The sequence below is a fragment of the Homo sapiens genome, chromosome 14 (assembly GCF_000001405.40).
Source record: "Homo sapiens chromosome 14, GRCh38.p14 Primary Assembly".
Classification (NCBI taxonomy): domain Eukaryota; kingdom Metazoa; phylum Chordata; class Mammalia; order Primates; family Hominidae; genus Homo; species Homo sapiens.
In genome coordinates, this window is record NC_000014.9 from 89,980,773 (window position 1) to 89,997,266 (window position 16,494).

Below are 16,494 nucleotides of genomic sequence, written 5' to 3' on the forward strand. Positions count from 1 at the left end.
GAAAAAGTTACTGTATTCTTTTACTACCTGCCCCATTCTACCTTCTTGGGGTAACCAGTGTTAACAGGAGCATCATCATCCACAGCTACCTCTGCTGTACATGTAAACATACATTACTATTTACACACAGTAGTCTCTTCCTAGTTTTTAGAGAAGTGGCATCATATACACTCTACAGCTAAGTAGAGGGCACAGCACATGCAGAGATCTGAGGCAGAAAAGGGGTTACAGAATGAAAGATCTGAACCTATTGTTTTCCTAGTAGGATTTACCAGATAGCTTTTGTGATTTCTCCTTACTCATGTACCCACCTGTATTTTTGCTTACCACTTCCCAAACAGGAATCAAAGGAAAAGTTGGGGTAGGGCCTGGTCATGTTAATAGTGTGCTAAATATTTCCCCACTCCCCCAGTTGGTGTATTTTCTTTGAAACAAATTTAAGCTGGTGTCTTTTTAGAGCCTTTAGTGTGTTAATAAAGTTGTGAATCTCCAAGAGAAGAACTGAATACGAAAGCTTTTATGAACTTTTTAAACTACTAACCCTCTGTACTTGGTGCACATATGCTAGATCCAGGTTTTGATCCCCTTTTCAAGAGGGGTTTGCTTTTTAAAAGGGAGCTTTAGGGATTTGCTCAACAAGTTCAGCTATTGTTCTTGATTATGACTAACTTTAATTTTCTTTTGTTTAAGCCATTTTGTACATCTCTGCCTGTGCTAGAGAAGAGCTGGTTAACAAACAGCCTTCTGTGTTGGGAGAAACTCGGACGTTTGTCTAGCACCATTTCCAGGTTCACGTTTTCTCTGTCATCCTCCTCTGCCTCACCCTGCCCCATATCATTGCCTAGCTTGGGCTAGAACTCCTAATTTGGAGTGTATTACTTTCAGCTAAGCTCTGCTGAGCCCAGGTTACATCTTTGTTTTGTTTGTTTTTTTGAGACGGTCTCACTCTGTCACCCAGGTTACAATGCTGTGATGCGATCACGGCTCACTTTAACCTCAACCTCCTGGGCTCAGGTGATCCTCCCACCTCAGCCTTCTGGGTAACTGGGACTGCAGGCACGTACCACCACACTTGGCTAACTGTCTTTATTTTTTGTAGAGACAAGGTTTTGCCTAGTTGCCAAGTGATCCGCCTGCCTCAGCCTCCCAAAGTGCTGAGATTACAGGCATGAACCACCGTGCCTGGCCCCAAGTTACATCTTAGTTTGAGCTGAAATAGCTTTCCAGTTTCCTTCAACAGGTCTTGCTTCAACCTGAGTGCACTGCGCAGGACAAATGTAATCTCCCTCCCTTAAAGCAGTCCTTCAGAGTTTGAAAGGGAGTCTTGTTTCTGAGCCTTACATCTCTTGTTCCCTCCCCACTCCCTTGCCCCACCATAGCATGTGGCTTTGAGACCCCTAGCTGTAATTCCTGGTCGCTTTTCTATAAACATGTTATAATTTTTCAGTATCCCACTGAAAATATGCTTTTCAAAATGAAGTGTGGCTCTGACTGGTCCAGGGTTGAGGGGATAGCTGCTTGGTCTCTAAGTCTCAGCTGTAGCACTTTCTTGATCTACTGAATTTATGGTTAACTATGCCTTTGGTACCCCAAGAGCTTCTAAGCCAGTTCTCCTGAGCTGCCAGATTGGGTTTGGGGATTCATGTGGCCCTATCAAAAGGCAATGAGATTAATGTAGCTTGTTCTCATGAAACAATGTTACTAAAGGGATTTCTCAGGTTAGCTCTCAGCCTCACGTGGTTCCAAGAATCCCACCCTGGGCCTCCAGCTCCTTCTGAAGTTGGAAGCTTAGCTTACAGGCAGTAGTACTGTCTTGGGATTCTCTGGGGTGGTTGCCAGGAGGGAAGAGGCAGGGATAAGGGCTTGGGTGTTTCTTTTATTTAAAAAAAGTATTTTTTAATTTAAAATTTTGGAAAACTTATTGACTAGGTAGGAACGGTTCAAAACTCAGAAAGTACCAAGACTATGAAATCTTCCTCTGGCAGCCATCCTGGTGTGGGATCCTATTATTTCATGCTTGGCCTATATTCTACTCTCTAATGTTTTGCATTTCATGTTATTTGTGGTAATTTTAAAACTTTTGAAAGCAGTTTTTGTATACAATCTCACTTCATAATTGGTCTACTGTGGTTCTGCTAATCCCCTTCAGCTGCCTCATGATCCACCTGTTGATTTCTCACTTTTTAAAATTAGAACAAGAGTTGCATCCAAAGCTCACAGTAAAGAATAAAATAAAATTATTTGGCTCATTATAATAATTTTCTCATTTTGTGATGTGTTAAAAATGCCTCATATCTCAGCATCTTAGTTTAGAAAGTCATTTGTCTTGTTTCTCATCCAGAACTCACCTGTGAGTGAATCTCTGATCCAGGAGGAGCCTCACTCAGCCTGGGAACTTTGAGGTGCTATTGCAAGGGGAGGTCCTCCACGTCTGTCCAGCCCAACCTGGTCATTTTACACACGGAGGCAAAGGCCCAGAGAGATCACAGAGCTTACCCAAAATGGTATAGTCAGCTAGTCGATCTGGGTCCAGAACATGGGCTCCAGCCCTCATCACACCATGCTACCTCCTGTGCTAAGTGTCTCCCCAGGGTGGGAAGCAGGGGTATGAAATGCCCCTTGCTAGAAACTTGCAGAGTTGAGAAGATGTACGGCCGAGAGTCCTTGCAGTTCTGGATGCCTTCTGCCCTGGTGGCCTGCATCTTGCCAGTCTCCTTCAGGGGCTGCCAGGTGAAAGAGAAATTGGGCAGTTTCTCTTTCAGCTTAATAGATAGAACCCAGGGTGGGGAAAAGGAGAGTAGCCACAGAAGGGGAAAAAAGTAACACCTGATACTTTTGACTGCTCCTGTAAGTCATTGCTTTGCAACAGCCCAGTGAGGCAGCCTTGTTAACCCCACTTTTTTGCATTTGAAGAAACTGAAGCACAAGAGGTTTGAAGCCATTTTAGTAATCTACTGTGGAGCAGTTTATAGAAGGATTGGGATTAGATATGATTGTTTTCTATTTATGGATATAATGTAGAAGTTTTGGCAAAGAGCATTGTTTTCCTCTAGGGAAAAAGAATTAATGAAATGAAAGATGTCTGTAATGCTTCTTCAGTGAATTAAGTGTTGAAAGTTTGAGGTTATTGTAATGTCACTGAATGTGATATATACTTAATCCAGGCACCAGAAAGTATAAGACATAAAAATATGCTGCTATAGGACCTACGTTATGAAAATGGGTTTGTTAATTGAAAATAGATTTTTCACATGCACTTTTGGTATAGATAACACAATTCTTATTTCACATTTGGCTGAAGAGCTGCATTGATGCAGACAAGGGCAAATTCTTGCTTGGGATTACCACTAGTAGCATGGATTTGCTTTAACCGTTAAGAGTAGAATTCTTAACTCTTGTCATCAAGTCTTAGAAAGCAATATATAGGTGCAGAGGTAAGAGGAGCAATAAGGAAGGTTTGGCAAGTGAGAGGGAGCATGGAGGGATGTGGGTTGGAAGAGGTGGGCAGAGCCCAGGTCTTACTGAATCTTAAATTCATGGCAAGACATTCAGGAATAATTCTGAATGTGATGAGAAACCATTGGAGTGGTGTTCTCAGATTTATGTTTCATGTTTCCTAAGATTACTTACCATGTGGAGATACCGAGAATTCACCTCTTTCTTAGGATGAAGGCATAATCGATACAGAGATCATTATGATCAGTTGTGTGCCTGACTGTTAAAGGTTATTTTTTTAATTCCAGAATATGGTTGAGCCCCTTATACCCACGAATTGCTGATGGAACCCACAAATCTGGAGAGTCGCCAACACATTTTAAAGCTGATCTCATCAGTTACTTGATGGCTTATAATGCCCCTTCTCTCAAGGAGTGGATAGATGTCATTCACAAGCACGATCTCTCTGAAACAAAGTATGTGTCAGCTTATCAATTTGGGGTGCTTATGATAGGCTTATACCTTGGGAGCCTCATGAGGTCTGGCATGCAGGGGCCTGGAAAGAGGTGGGGTGAAATCTAGCCAAGCTTCAGGATGTGATGAGGGGATGAGCAGATTCTATCACATCTGTATCTTGTGGTTCTCAGGCATTAAAGTGACAGCCAGTGAATCCTCATGTTTACCTTAGCCTCCCACTGGGTTACTCTCACAATTATTGAGTTCTTTGTCTGGTACTTTACATCTTGTAGGCATTCCATCATTAGTTGATTTGCTTGAAAATGAATTTGAGAGTCAATTCAAGAAAATGGATTGGCTCTTAGATCATTTCTTGATTATATTAGTTTTCATGTGTATTTTGTCATTTTTTTTGGTGCCCAAAGCACATCACTATATTTTATAACTTGTGTTTTTATGTCTTTTTAGTGTTTATCTTATTGGTTCAACCCCAGGACGCTTTCAAGGAAGTCAAAAAGATAATTGGGGACATTTTAGACTTAAGAAGGTAACAGAACTTTTACTATTTTAACATTTTTAAAAAATTTAATGTATATTCTCTCTTTTAAAATAATTATATATTTTGATGCAGCTTCACAATATTTCTGCACAATTCTGGGCAAATAGATACTTGATAAATTGATAATTATAATTCTTAGTAATTACTGCTTTTTAATGTGTTTTGCCTCTTTTATAGCTGTAGGCTGTTAATGGCATAAATATATAGACCTTTTCTAGTTTTTATATTGTAATAAAGATAGAGGCTTCCTATTCATACACATACTGTAGCTTTGATTATAGCTTTTGATTGTTCAGCATATCAAGTTTTAAGATATAAATTCAACAAACAGAAAATGTTGAGTAAAGACTACAACTGAGCTATAATATATTTTGATTATTAAACCAGTGCCCTTAAGAAAACAAATTCAAAAATAATACTTGCTGCTGATATGAAAATGCACGAAGAAAGGTCATAAAATAAGTTGAAGATTAAAGTTTTTTTCATCTCTTTTTAGGTGGTTTACTGACCTTAATAAATTCCCTGGCCAGGTGTGGTGGCTCACGCCTGTAATCCCAGCATTTTGGGAGGCTGAGAGGGGCGGATCACAAGGTTAGGAGTTCAAGACCAGCCTGGCCAACGTGGTGAAACCCTGTCTCTACTAAAAATACAAAAATTAGCCGGGCATGATGGCAGGCACCTGTAATCCCAGCTACTCGGGAGGCTGAGGCAGGAGAATCGCTTGAACCCGGGAGGCGGAGATTGCAGTGAGCTGAGACCACACCATTGCACTCCAACCTGGGCAACAGAGCGAGACTCCGTCTCAAAAAAATAAATAAATTCCCTAAAGTGGCTTTCTTAAAAGCCTTAACCTCTTATTCCATAAACTATTTAAAGTCTAAGAATTTTCCCTTGGTTAATGAAACTTTTTATTTTAATTTCCTTTTATGAAATGAGACCACAGCTTAAAGCAGGCAAGATCTTGAAGACATCTTTATGTCTTGGCCTAGAGAGGAAGTTCAGCACATTGGCCTGTGCCCAGTCTTGGAGGCAGATATCCATAGCTGGGTTCAAACCCTGCTTTGTTATCTACAAGCCGTGTGACCTCGACTTGTTCCTTAACATACATCGGTTGTCATCTATAAAGTGGACATAATAATAGTACTTCCCTCCCGTGATTGTGAGGATTAAATGAAATGATGAATGTAAAATAGTACAGGGCACACAGTAAGTCTTCAGTGCACATACACAGTTGTTTGTGGACAAATGTCTAATGGTTTAGATAGGCTAGATAATAGCACGTATTATGTGTGATCACCATCTGATACTGAAAGTTCAACTGTATGTTAAGAGTTTTCAAACCACTTTTTACACACAGTTGCTCATGTTGCACCACAGCTTTCTTCCAGGAAGGCCGGCCGGTGATTAGGTGCCTGTTTCCACTGAAGTGTAAATCTAAGCCAGAGGCTTGTCCAGGATAGGGTGGCCCTTCAGGGGCTGAGCACTGCAGTAGAAACTGGGTGTTGTAAGTTGTCGGTTCAGCTCTGTTTCCTACACCATGCTGTACCCAAGGTGGACATGGAAACTTTGGGCTTTTTGGGAAGTGTATGTGTAAGTATTAATGCCTAACCTGTGTTAAGGAAAATAATACATATTAAATTAAACAAAACGTCAGTCAGATGAGCTACAGTTTATTTTTCTGCTCTCTCCAGCCCTCTAGGTAGGCATTCAGTACATATTTAAGTGGATACAGTTTCCAAATGTTTTCTTAATTGTTTCTGCAGCTTTGCATAATTATCAAAGCAGGAAATGCAGATCAGTCTTCTGCAGTGTTTTAGCTGGTATGTGTATGTAAATATTCTCTTTTATGTTTAGACCATCACAGCTGCCTGGAGCTCAAGTGTTAAACTATGACTGTTAAGCCTCTTTCAAATGATAGGAGTCAAAATATGTAATCCTTCTAGGTATTGTTTAAGTGTTGGTAGCAAAAAACTCACTTTGTTTCCTCTGCTCTCACACTACAACAGTCAACACAGAAAACTGTGACCAAATATGTGTGGGGTTTTCCTCATACACTAAGCAGGGGACACCAGCTGGGTGTCCTCTAATTCACTTCAGTTCTTATGCTGTCTTCCTGGAGATGTATAAAGAAAGTGACTTTAAAGAAAGTGATGATATAAAGAAAGTGATGGTATAAAAAAAGTTATTTTTTATTCCAAAGCTGGCTTAGAGGAATAAGTACAGGCTTCCTGTCTTAAGGATACTGCTTTGCTCTTGGAGCAGAAAGTGGACACTTTTAAAAGGGGCCTAGCATGAATGGCACGCAGAGGAGGAAGCAAGCAGGTGGATACTTCCTTACTTTCTGCCTTCTCTACCAGGCAGTCCATTTGGTCTCTTCCTGGGCAGAACTAGGTTGTAAAGATGGCTGAAACTCTCCAGGTGGGAGAGTTTCTTAGTGGGCATACTTTGGGTTGTAAATTTACTGCTGTCCCTCGAGGCAGTCCCCTGGTGGGAGAAAGTTCTGCTCTGGAGCTTCTAAGCACATAGATGAACTTGCCCTGTAGGGAGTGTCTAGTAAAGGAAAGGTAAAAGGTTATATTGTATTTCTAAAGGTCTAAGTAGGAAGTGGGGAAGGAGTTGGGGAATAGTAGGGAAAAAATAATTGAAAAAATACATTTTTTTTAAAGAAATATGGGGGTAGCCTCAGATCCCATAGATTGAGGGCTCCATCCCACAAGACTGCCCCTCTCCCTCAGACACCAGTTGCAAGTCTGGGCCTCCAGAACTTCTGACTGACCAGCTTCAAGTTGAGGTTCCCATGACCCTCTCTTTGGGCTTCATTTGCTAGAGCAGCTCGCTGAACTCAGGGAAACACTTAACATTTACTGCTTTATTATAAAGGATACAGATGAAGAGATGCATAGAGCAAGGTATAGGGGAAGGGGCACAGAGCTTTCATGCCCTCTCTGGATGCACCACCACTGTCCAGCAGCCCGCAGGTGTTCAGCTGTCGGAAAGCTCCCTAAACCCTGTCCTTTTGGGTTTTTAATGGAGGCTTCATTACATAGGCATGGTTGATTACATCACTGGCCATTGCTGATCAGCTCAACCTTTAGCCCCTCCTATCCCTGGAGGATGGGGGGTTGTGCCAAAAGTCCCAATCTTCTAATCATGCCTTGGTCTTTATCGTGACCAGCCCCCATCCTGAAGTTGCCTAGGGTCTGCCAGCCATCAGTCTCATTAACATACAGAAAGACTTCACATTGGAGATCCCAAGGATTTTAGTAGTTGCATGCCAGGAAACAGGGATGAAGACCAAATACATATTTCATAGCATCAAAGCTGCATTAAACACTTGTGATTTCAAGTAAAAAAAATCTAATTTCATATGACAAGTTGGTGGTTTATCTGAAATTTCTTCTGAAATGGGCCTTTTTAAACCTGTTTTTGCTTTTAGTACAAATCAAATAATTTTGGAAAGGAGAACTTCTGTCCATCTACTCCATTAAAAATATGTTTTTAGTATTTAAAAAAAATTTCCCAAAGAAGAAGTATGTATGTGTGGGTATGAAATTGATCACTAGTATTTTCAGCTTTTCTTGTTAATTAGGCTTTCCAAGAGCAGAAAACTGTTTTCAAATATTGCAGCATTTCTGTTAAGATTATTTGAGTCACTTTAACATTCACTTTTATTCTTTCCCAGCTTCTGAAAGACCATGCCTCATCCATGCCTAACGCAGAGTCCTGGCCTGTCGTAGGTCAGTTTTCAAGCGTTGGCTCCTTGGGAGCCGATGAATCAAAGTGGTTATGTTCTGAGTTTAAAGAGAGCATGCTGACACTGGGGAAGGAAAGCAAGACTCCAGGAAAAAGCTCTGTTCCTCTTTACTTGGTGAGTTCTCGTCCTCATTGAGGTAGTTTACTTTTATTCTCTACACAGGAGAAGAATTGAAAATTGGTCCTCTTTGTAATGGAGAGATGTTTTATTCTGTGATTCTTTTTTTTTTTTTGGCGTGGCGGGGGCGGGGTGCGGAAAGAGCAGTACATTAGCATCGTCATTTGTAATCAAGTTGCCTTTGCCTTAATATCCAGTGCTAAGAGCTTGCCGATTCGTTCAGGAGCTCCATTGCAGACACAGACTGGCCTGTGATTTTTCTATCCTTTCTTTCAGGTTGTTGAACCAAGGTAGAAAATATTTGATGTAGCACAGCCAGCAGAATTATGGGCATTTTAATTATTTAGAGAACTGTGAATTAATAATTAATTTTCCATTCAATGTTAACTTGAATTTCAAAGGAAAAAATACTCCAATTGAAGTATAATTTTACATCAAATATGGTTCCTGTTGTTTAATTACTAGTTCATTTTTTTCATAAGATGAGAACTTTTAAAAATTTAAAGCATATTTTCTAATTTAAAAGTATTTTTAACAGATTTTCATTTCCTTAAAAGCTGATTATCATTCCTTTTCTTCAACATGGTACATTCCGAGTTTTATTGTTTTCCTCTTATTTTTAGATCTATCCTTCTGTGGAAAATGTGCGGACCAGTTTAGAAGGATATCCTGGTAATTCTTGGGGAGACTGTCTTGATTGTGTTTTATGTATATTTCATGAATGTCCTGGTAAAGTTTTACTACTATTGCGTAGAAATTTGGAGATGGTTTTCACTTAACTATATAAGGATCATGAAAATAGGCAATATGAAGCTCTGCATTCCGCAGATGATACCCTTCAGTTTGGGTGTGTTATTAATCCTTACAGAAACCCTCTGCACAATAGTTTTCATTTTTACCAGTAAGGTAACCAGCAGGTTGGTTGTCCAGACAAGATAGCCAAATAAAATCAGCTTCCCCTTACTCTTCAATGCGTTTTCAGAGCTTATCCAACATACCTTCCTCTCATCTCTGCATATCCTCCCTTCCTGTGTTTGAGGTACCATGTGGTCCTTTTAAATGCCTGCTATAGATAACATTTAAGGTCCGGAATTTTTAAAATTTTGCCTTTGGTATAACTTTGTTGATATGTCTATTCTGTCAAGGGTGTCATCTGCAAATGCCTAAGATTTTTTGTAGGCATCTGTCAACGCTGTCCCTTTCCCTTATACTCATACCAGGCACTAAACCTTTATTTAGAATTCAGCAGCCCCGCTAGTTAGTGTAATCAGGAGATGTTAACTGAAAACCCACATAGTGGTTGTCTCTGGAAAAAGCAAAGTCTAATTGGCATTTGTTGATGGCTGAAAGCAGAATGCACTGAATTAAACTAATTTAGTCCATTTATTGCTTATCAGGCTCAATAAGAAAAATCTGCCAGGAAAATTTCGCTAGCGTTTGGAGTGTATTAGCCCTTTTTTTTTTTTTTTTTTTTTTTAATGGCAAAACCAAAATTACTTCACCGAGACCCAGGGATACAGTGGTGGTTTTTCTTTGGTACTCTTTTTGTGCCTCTAATAGGCTAGATTCATTCAAAGTGTACTTTTAATGGGGGAACAACATGGTATTTTTAACAAAGTTGTTTTATAACTGGCTTTGAAACTGAATGTTTTTAGTTATTTGAAGTTGAAGACAGGACATGCCCTATTTGATATGTCAGAGATGTTTGGATATAGATCTCTTTGGGTGTAGATCAGTGTGGAGAAGTTCCAGCATGTGTGTGGAAAGTCACTGATAATCCACTGTGGAGTTTTCTTCATTTTAAAAATGAGCAAGCATTGACTTCTAATTGTATTTCCACTTGGAACTTTCTTTATTCTCTTTGCAAGAATAAGGCTTTTAGAATTCCTTTTTTCAAACTGAACTGTTTACTGAACGTTTTGTTTTTTAGCCATTCTTTTCTGTTTGTCAGAATCTGCTCAGCCAGTACAAAGTCTGTTTGGAAATAGTGTGTAAAGGTGAAGTAGAAGGGGCACTGACATCTTGTCCTAGATTTTCCTCCCCAAGTCCCACGGTCTTGGGCAAAACAGAGGCTGTCCAGCTGTGTCTTATTTGCATAAGGAGGGTAGGATGGGCCAGGATTCTAACACTTCAGATCTGTGCAGGTATAGATGTTAAATTATCATCACCAAGTAATTCAATTATAATTTTTTGTTTTCAAAGTGTACTTTTAATGGGGAACAACGTGGTATTTTTAACAAAGCTGTTTTATAACTGGCTTTGAAACTGAGTGGTTTTAGTTATTTGCAGTTGAAGCTTTTGCAGGAAAAAGCTCTATTCTGCTTTACTTGGTGCGTTCTCGTCCTCAATGAGGTAATTTACTTTTATTCTCGACACAGAAGAATTGTAAATAGTCCTTACATTCCTGATGGGAGAAATCTTTTTAATGTGTTCATAATTCTTGCTCTGAATGTTGAATGGGTTTCTAAAAAGTGATTAGCGAGTTGTCATTAGTTTTCAGTATGTTTGTGTTACATGAGCCTTATTTAAAGGCATCCCATGACTATACTTCGTAAAGTATATGATCATCACTTACTTTTGCTTATAAGTCTGGATGTTTATAAGATTTGCATAAAGTTAATACTGAAGGAAGGAAACCTCGTTAAGAGAACATATCTAGTGCAACTATAGACATTTTCTTTCAAATAACTATTCTATAAGATGAAGTAATAGAAGTAGTTTTTTTCCTGTTACCTTCTTGCTGTTTATTGTAGATTTTCCTCTTAATGAGGGATCCTCAAATTATATTTCATAATTTTTATTGTTTTATTTTTCTTTTAAAAGCTGGGGGCTCTCTTCCCTATAGCATCCAGACAGCTGAAAAACAGAATTGGCTGCATTCCTATTTTCAGTAAGTAATTGGTTTAGACTGCTGCTATTGCTTCTTTAGGAATTAGAGTGTTATTTATGTCACTGGTTTGTTTTTTTTTTTAAAAGGAACTTTATGTAATATAGCTATATTCTTTCATCTACATATGTTAGTGATAGAAATAATTTAAAACAAGGTTTTGAATTTTTTTTGGAATAGGTTTTTAATACCAAAGAGGAAAATTTATTGCTGTGAGGTTTCTATTTAAATATTGGCATGCCAAGAAAGACAAATAGAAGATCATGTTGGGTAGTTTAGAATTTACATAAGCAGCATTTTAGTTCATTTTTCCAAAATATAAAGTATCATTATTCTGTCTGTACCGTCACACATGCAGCTGCAAGCTTGTTGAGGGCAGATTCTTTGCTGCCGTTTCCTGAGGATACAGGACAGTATCTGGCGTGTTGTCAGAGTTCAGTAAATGCTGAGTGGACAAGTGAAGGGAATGTCCTTCACCCTCCTCCAGCCACAGCAGTTGCACAGCCTGCATATGCAAGGCCAGTCTGTTTCATGCTTGTCTCAACAGGTGTTTGCTGTGCTGGTTAGCCAGAAATGAAAGCAGAATTACTTTGAATTATAGCTTTCAACTGTAAGTCAGTGTGTAATCCTAGAGCTTTTCTTTAGTGCTTTCTTGAGAGGTTTTTCCTTACAGAGGACATTTCTTTAAATTGAACTCATTTAAATATTATATTATTAAATTCACTTGAATGAAGACAGTGATGGTACCTACCTAAACCTGATTCTGTTTTCACAGACCATCTGTTAATCTGGAGGGACCATCCTCTTATATTCATAAGTAAAGATTGTTGCTTCATGATATAGGTTCCCATAGAACCATAGTCTGCAATATTGGAAACTTAGAAACCAAACTCAGATTTGTGAATGTCAGCATTTGACTAAAGTATTTCTGCCCTCGCTTTTCAACATTCATTTTTTTCATATACTGTTTGTATTTTGCCTTTTTTGTATTTTGTTTCATTCAACAAGCTTTTGCTGAGCCTCTACTCATAACACACCGTGGAAGCATGATTCTTCCCTTTAAGGAGCTCACAGTTCAGGCAGGAGACATATACACACATGCTGTTAAAAGCACAACAGAAATAATATGTATGCATGTATGTATGTTCATGGCAAAAATGGAAAGGCTATATGCTGAAAGGTTGCAGTGCTTCTTGTGAAAAGTGGGAAGTTTATAATTCTAAAATGGGCATGCGTTACTTGAATGGAGTTTCATAAAATCTCACAGGTCACAGAGTCGTGTAGCCACTGTTGATTTTTAGATAATAGGCTCTTTGTTTTCATGCAGTTTCCTAATATTAGGATTATGATCAATTTTATTTCATAATTAGTAACTTTTGTCTTTTCTGTCACTAGCAAATGGTCAGCTGAGACTTCTGGCCGCAGCAATGCCATGCCACATATTAAGACATATATGAGGCCTTCTCCAGACTTCAGTAAAATTGCTTGGTTCCTTGTCACAAGGTAAATAGTCCTTACATTCCTGATGGGAGAAATCTTTTTAATGTGTTCATAATTCTTGCTCTGAATGTTGAATGGGTTTCTAAAAAGTGATTAGTGAGTTGTCATTAGTTTTCAGTATGTTTGTGTTACATGAGCCTTATTTAAAGGCATCCCATGACTAATCCCTTTGTAAAGTATATGATCATCACCTACTTTTGCTTATAAGTCTAGATGTTTATCAGATTTGCATAAAGTTAACATTTACTTCTGTTATTTAATACCTCAATAGGGGTTATGCAAATTGACATTTGGGGTAAGTACAGAAGAATAATGAAATGTTAAAATTAATATTTTTTTCTTAATTAGTTTCTCCTTAGGTAATTGAAATCTGAAGCAATCAAATCTCTTATGTGTCCTTTTCTAAAACATCTTTAAGGTGTAATTCACGTACCATAAAATCTGCCCATTAAGTCTCTACTGTTTAATGGTTTAGGATAGTCACAGAATTATGTAACCATTACCATAATCTAAATTTAGAATATTTTCATCACCCTATAAGAAACCACCTACCTGTTGGCATTTTTGTGTCTATTTTTATAGGAAGATAAATTGCTATGCCCTTTGAAAACTAGAACTTTAGTTCCTGACTCCCAGGCTGAACCCAACGATTAGGCATCTCTTTATGATTCAGTAACATAATTAATGTCAATAGCAACTAATTAAAGTATCACAGAGTAGAATTATTTCTTTAAGAGAGGAACAGCACTCATGAACAAACTTTTAAACAAAAGAGCCACTTACATCTTCTTGGCGAGAGAGAAAGATTTATTTTAAGGAATTGGCTCATGCAATTGTAGGGGCTGGCAAGTCCAAAATCCATAGGGCAAACCAGCAGCTTGGAGATTTAGTAAGACTTGATGTTGCAATCTTGAGTCTCTTTCTACTTTATTGGAAAAGTTTAATTTAATGTCTGTTTGGGTGTTGTTTTCCCTCAAAGTGTAATAAAAAGGTGATGTACTTCACAGAAATTACGTATTATTGATTCTGTTTCAAGGGCATTAAGGGAAGTGGAGATTAAAGTAACCCTGTGAGTAATCTTTTTCTAAAGGCAAAGTTTTTGTAGTTCAGTTCAATGGCAGTGTGTGCTTGACTGTGGGAACACAAAGAGCCAGGAAGCACGAGCCCTGCCATGCATGTGATGTTGTATCCTAGTTGTTTACCTGTGTGAGGACCATAGTGGAAGCACTGTTAGAAATGTATTGCCTTGCTGGGGCAGAGGCAGGATCAAATGAGAGATCAGCTAAACTAAGTAAAGAGGTGCTATTGTAAGTAGGCCTAGAAGTAAGCCTGAGAGAAAACCCAGACGGATTAGAAGGAACTAGTGAGGACAAAGGCCATGGAGGTGGGAAAATACACAGGATTTTCAGGGAAAATCTGAGTGATTCCATGAGGCTATGTAAAAGGAAACACAGGTTCAGATACCTTTGGCATGTATTTTCTAAAGTTAAGTCAAAAAACATCCACTGTCAGTTTACTCATTTAATATTTGTCAGTTTTGTACTGTGAATATCTGCTTTAATGTCGAATGGCTGTTACTAAATTAAGCAAATTATAGTTATTTGAAGTTTATTGTAAGAATTTGAAATTTGTCATTATGGCTTTGTAGCTTCTAGTTTTATTCTGTAATAACTGGACTGAAAGCTGTATCTACTTGCCTAAATGTTTAAAGATGAATAGCAACAACATTCATTCAGTAATTTCAATATGCCAGACTGTTCTGGGTGAGCAATCATGTGTATTTACTTATTTAATTCTCACAACAGCTGCATGAGGACCAGGAGGCACAGAGTGATTAATAAGCTGCCTACTATCATGCAGTAATAAGTGATGGAACCCAGATAGGAGCACACCTCTCCTCTACTGTCTGATGCCCCCTCTTAATCAACATAGAGTTTTAGTGTGCCTGTTTTCTACAAAGACTAGTTAATTCCAAAGAAATTGTGTCAGGCTTTACTTTGATTGCTGTATAAAAGAGGAAAAGGACATTGAGCATTCCAATATGATTAAAGGATTTCTAAGAAACATAACTTAAATAACAACTTAGATACATAGAACCCACTCTCTCAGCCCTTCCATAATAAAGGAAAGTATAGTTTCCAAATATAAATGGCATCTACCAGTAAGGAGCTCCCTTGATTAGGTTTGGACATTTTGTTTTGTCTGTCACTTTTTCTGAACCTGTCAGAAAGAATGTTCCCAAACCGAACTCATGTAGATGGAGATTTCTTTTCCCAGAATTCTTCTTTGCCCTTGTGGCACCTGTCTCTTATTACCAAGCTTAAAGCCTGAATGTCTCTTTCACTATTCCCTCAAATGTTTGGCAAACATTTGCTGAGGTCCTCCTGTGGATGCCAGGCACTCAGGATAAAACAGAAGATTTAGATAGTGTCTTTTAGATGCTCACAGTCTCTGATGGAGGAGCCAGACACAGAAATAATTACAATAGGAAGAGACCAATTATGTGCTTGAGGTGGGCACATGGATGCTTTGGAAATAGCTGTCAAAGCCTATTTATCTTTGAAATGTTTCAAAAGTTTCCTCTTCCAGTCCTTGCAATTACCAGGTCAGAAACTTATCCTCTGGACTTCTGAAAGGGTTTCCTATCTGTTGTGTCATCACGTGGATGTTCTTCATAAGCCACTCATCCTGGTTGCCCATGCCCCTTCACCTTTCTGAAACATAGAGTTTCCTCATTGTTCCATGTTCAGAATTCCCCACGTCCTGTAGGCTAAAGTACAGATTCCTCAGTTTGGAAGTCATGCCCCAGCCACACCATTTTCACCATTCTTACCCATTAATCCCCAAGAGGAGCCTTGAGAAGAAGCCAGGCTAGCCTCCTTTGCCCCTGAAGTCATCCAGCCAACAGCCCATGTAGTTTCTTCTCCTGATCCTTTCATCCCTTTTCTCTCTTTCTTCAGTTGCTGTTCATCTTTTAAGAGTTGTGTTCAGGTCCCATCTCCGCCTGGAGCCTCTTTCAGCCTCTGCTGGTCCCTCCCTGTCCAGATCCTTAGATCCGTGTGCCACCAGTGGAGCTCACAGCTCCTACCTCACTATTTTGTCTCTCAAGCATGAGCTTTAACATTGTCAGACAGTACTAGATGAGATGGTCATGTCTACTATTGAACAAGTCTTGCCTTGGACAAGTTTCTTAACCTCTCTGAGCCTCAGACTTCTCAACTGCACAGCAACTATGAAGGTTTAAGGTGCCAACTATGGTGACCTGTGGGAGTAAGAAGAAAGGGGCAGGGGAGAGAATTGACCTGCATTAAGTAGCCACCATGTGGCAGACACTTCTGGTGCTTTACCTACATAGTAGTGTCTTTCAGTCCCCACAAGAGCTGTGAGGTGGCGTTATCCCCTCCCTCCACTCAATGAGGAATAAGGCGGCAGAGTTGAGGCAGTTCTACCCATTACTCAGCAAATATGTATTGCCCGCTGTGGCAAGAATAGAGTAATTAAGATGAGGTTCTCACAGAATTTACATTGGCATGAAAGAGATTTACCAAAGAATTCATTGTATACATATTAGTTAATTGCACTTGTAATGCTTTTTGACTATTCTACATAGGTGGGTTTTTAGCCAAAACATCACTTCTGGAGCCTGGTGGCTTCCATAATGCCCTAGATTCCTGCATTGTCAGCGTTCTTTCCCTATTCACTGTGGTTGCTTGTGTAATTATCTGGCTTCCCCTCTAGACTCTGTGAGGCCAAGTCCATGCCTGTCTTGTTCAGCATACCCTGGTG

General features: G+C 39.1%; 1 protein-coding gene across 22 annotated transcripts in view; it reads left to right on the forward strand.

Annotated features, from left to right (window-relative positions):
* Positions 1-16,494, forward strand: part of TDP1 (tyrosyl-DNA phosphodiesterase 1) — an 89,797-nt gene that overhangs the window by 25,805 nt on the left and 47,498 nt on the right. For 18 of the 22 annotated variants that reach the window (XM_047431570.1, XM_011536942.4, XM_047431568.1 and 15 more), the window contains 6 exons: positions 3,744-3,911; positions 4,360-4,438; positions 8,133-8,318; positions 8,945-8,993; positions 11,145-11,211; positions 12,604-12,711. In XM_047431570.1, coding sequence (XP_047287526.1) covers positions 3,744-3,911; positions 4,360-4,438; positions 8,133-8,318; positions 8,945-8,993; positions 11,145-11,211; positions 12,604-12,711 — 657 coding nt within the window. Of the gene's footprint in view, positions 1-690; positions 789-2,341; positions 2,505-3,743; positions 3,912-4,359; positions 4,439-8,132; positions 8,319-8,944; positions 8,994-11,144; positions 11,212-12,603; positions 12,712-16,494 lie in introns of those variants that run through there. The other 4 variants (XR_007064032.1, XR_007064035.1, XR_007064033.1 and 1 more) reach the window with 3 other exon arrangements.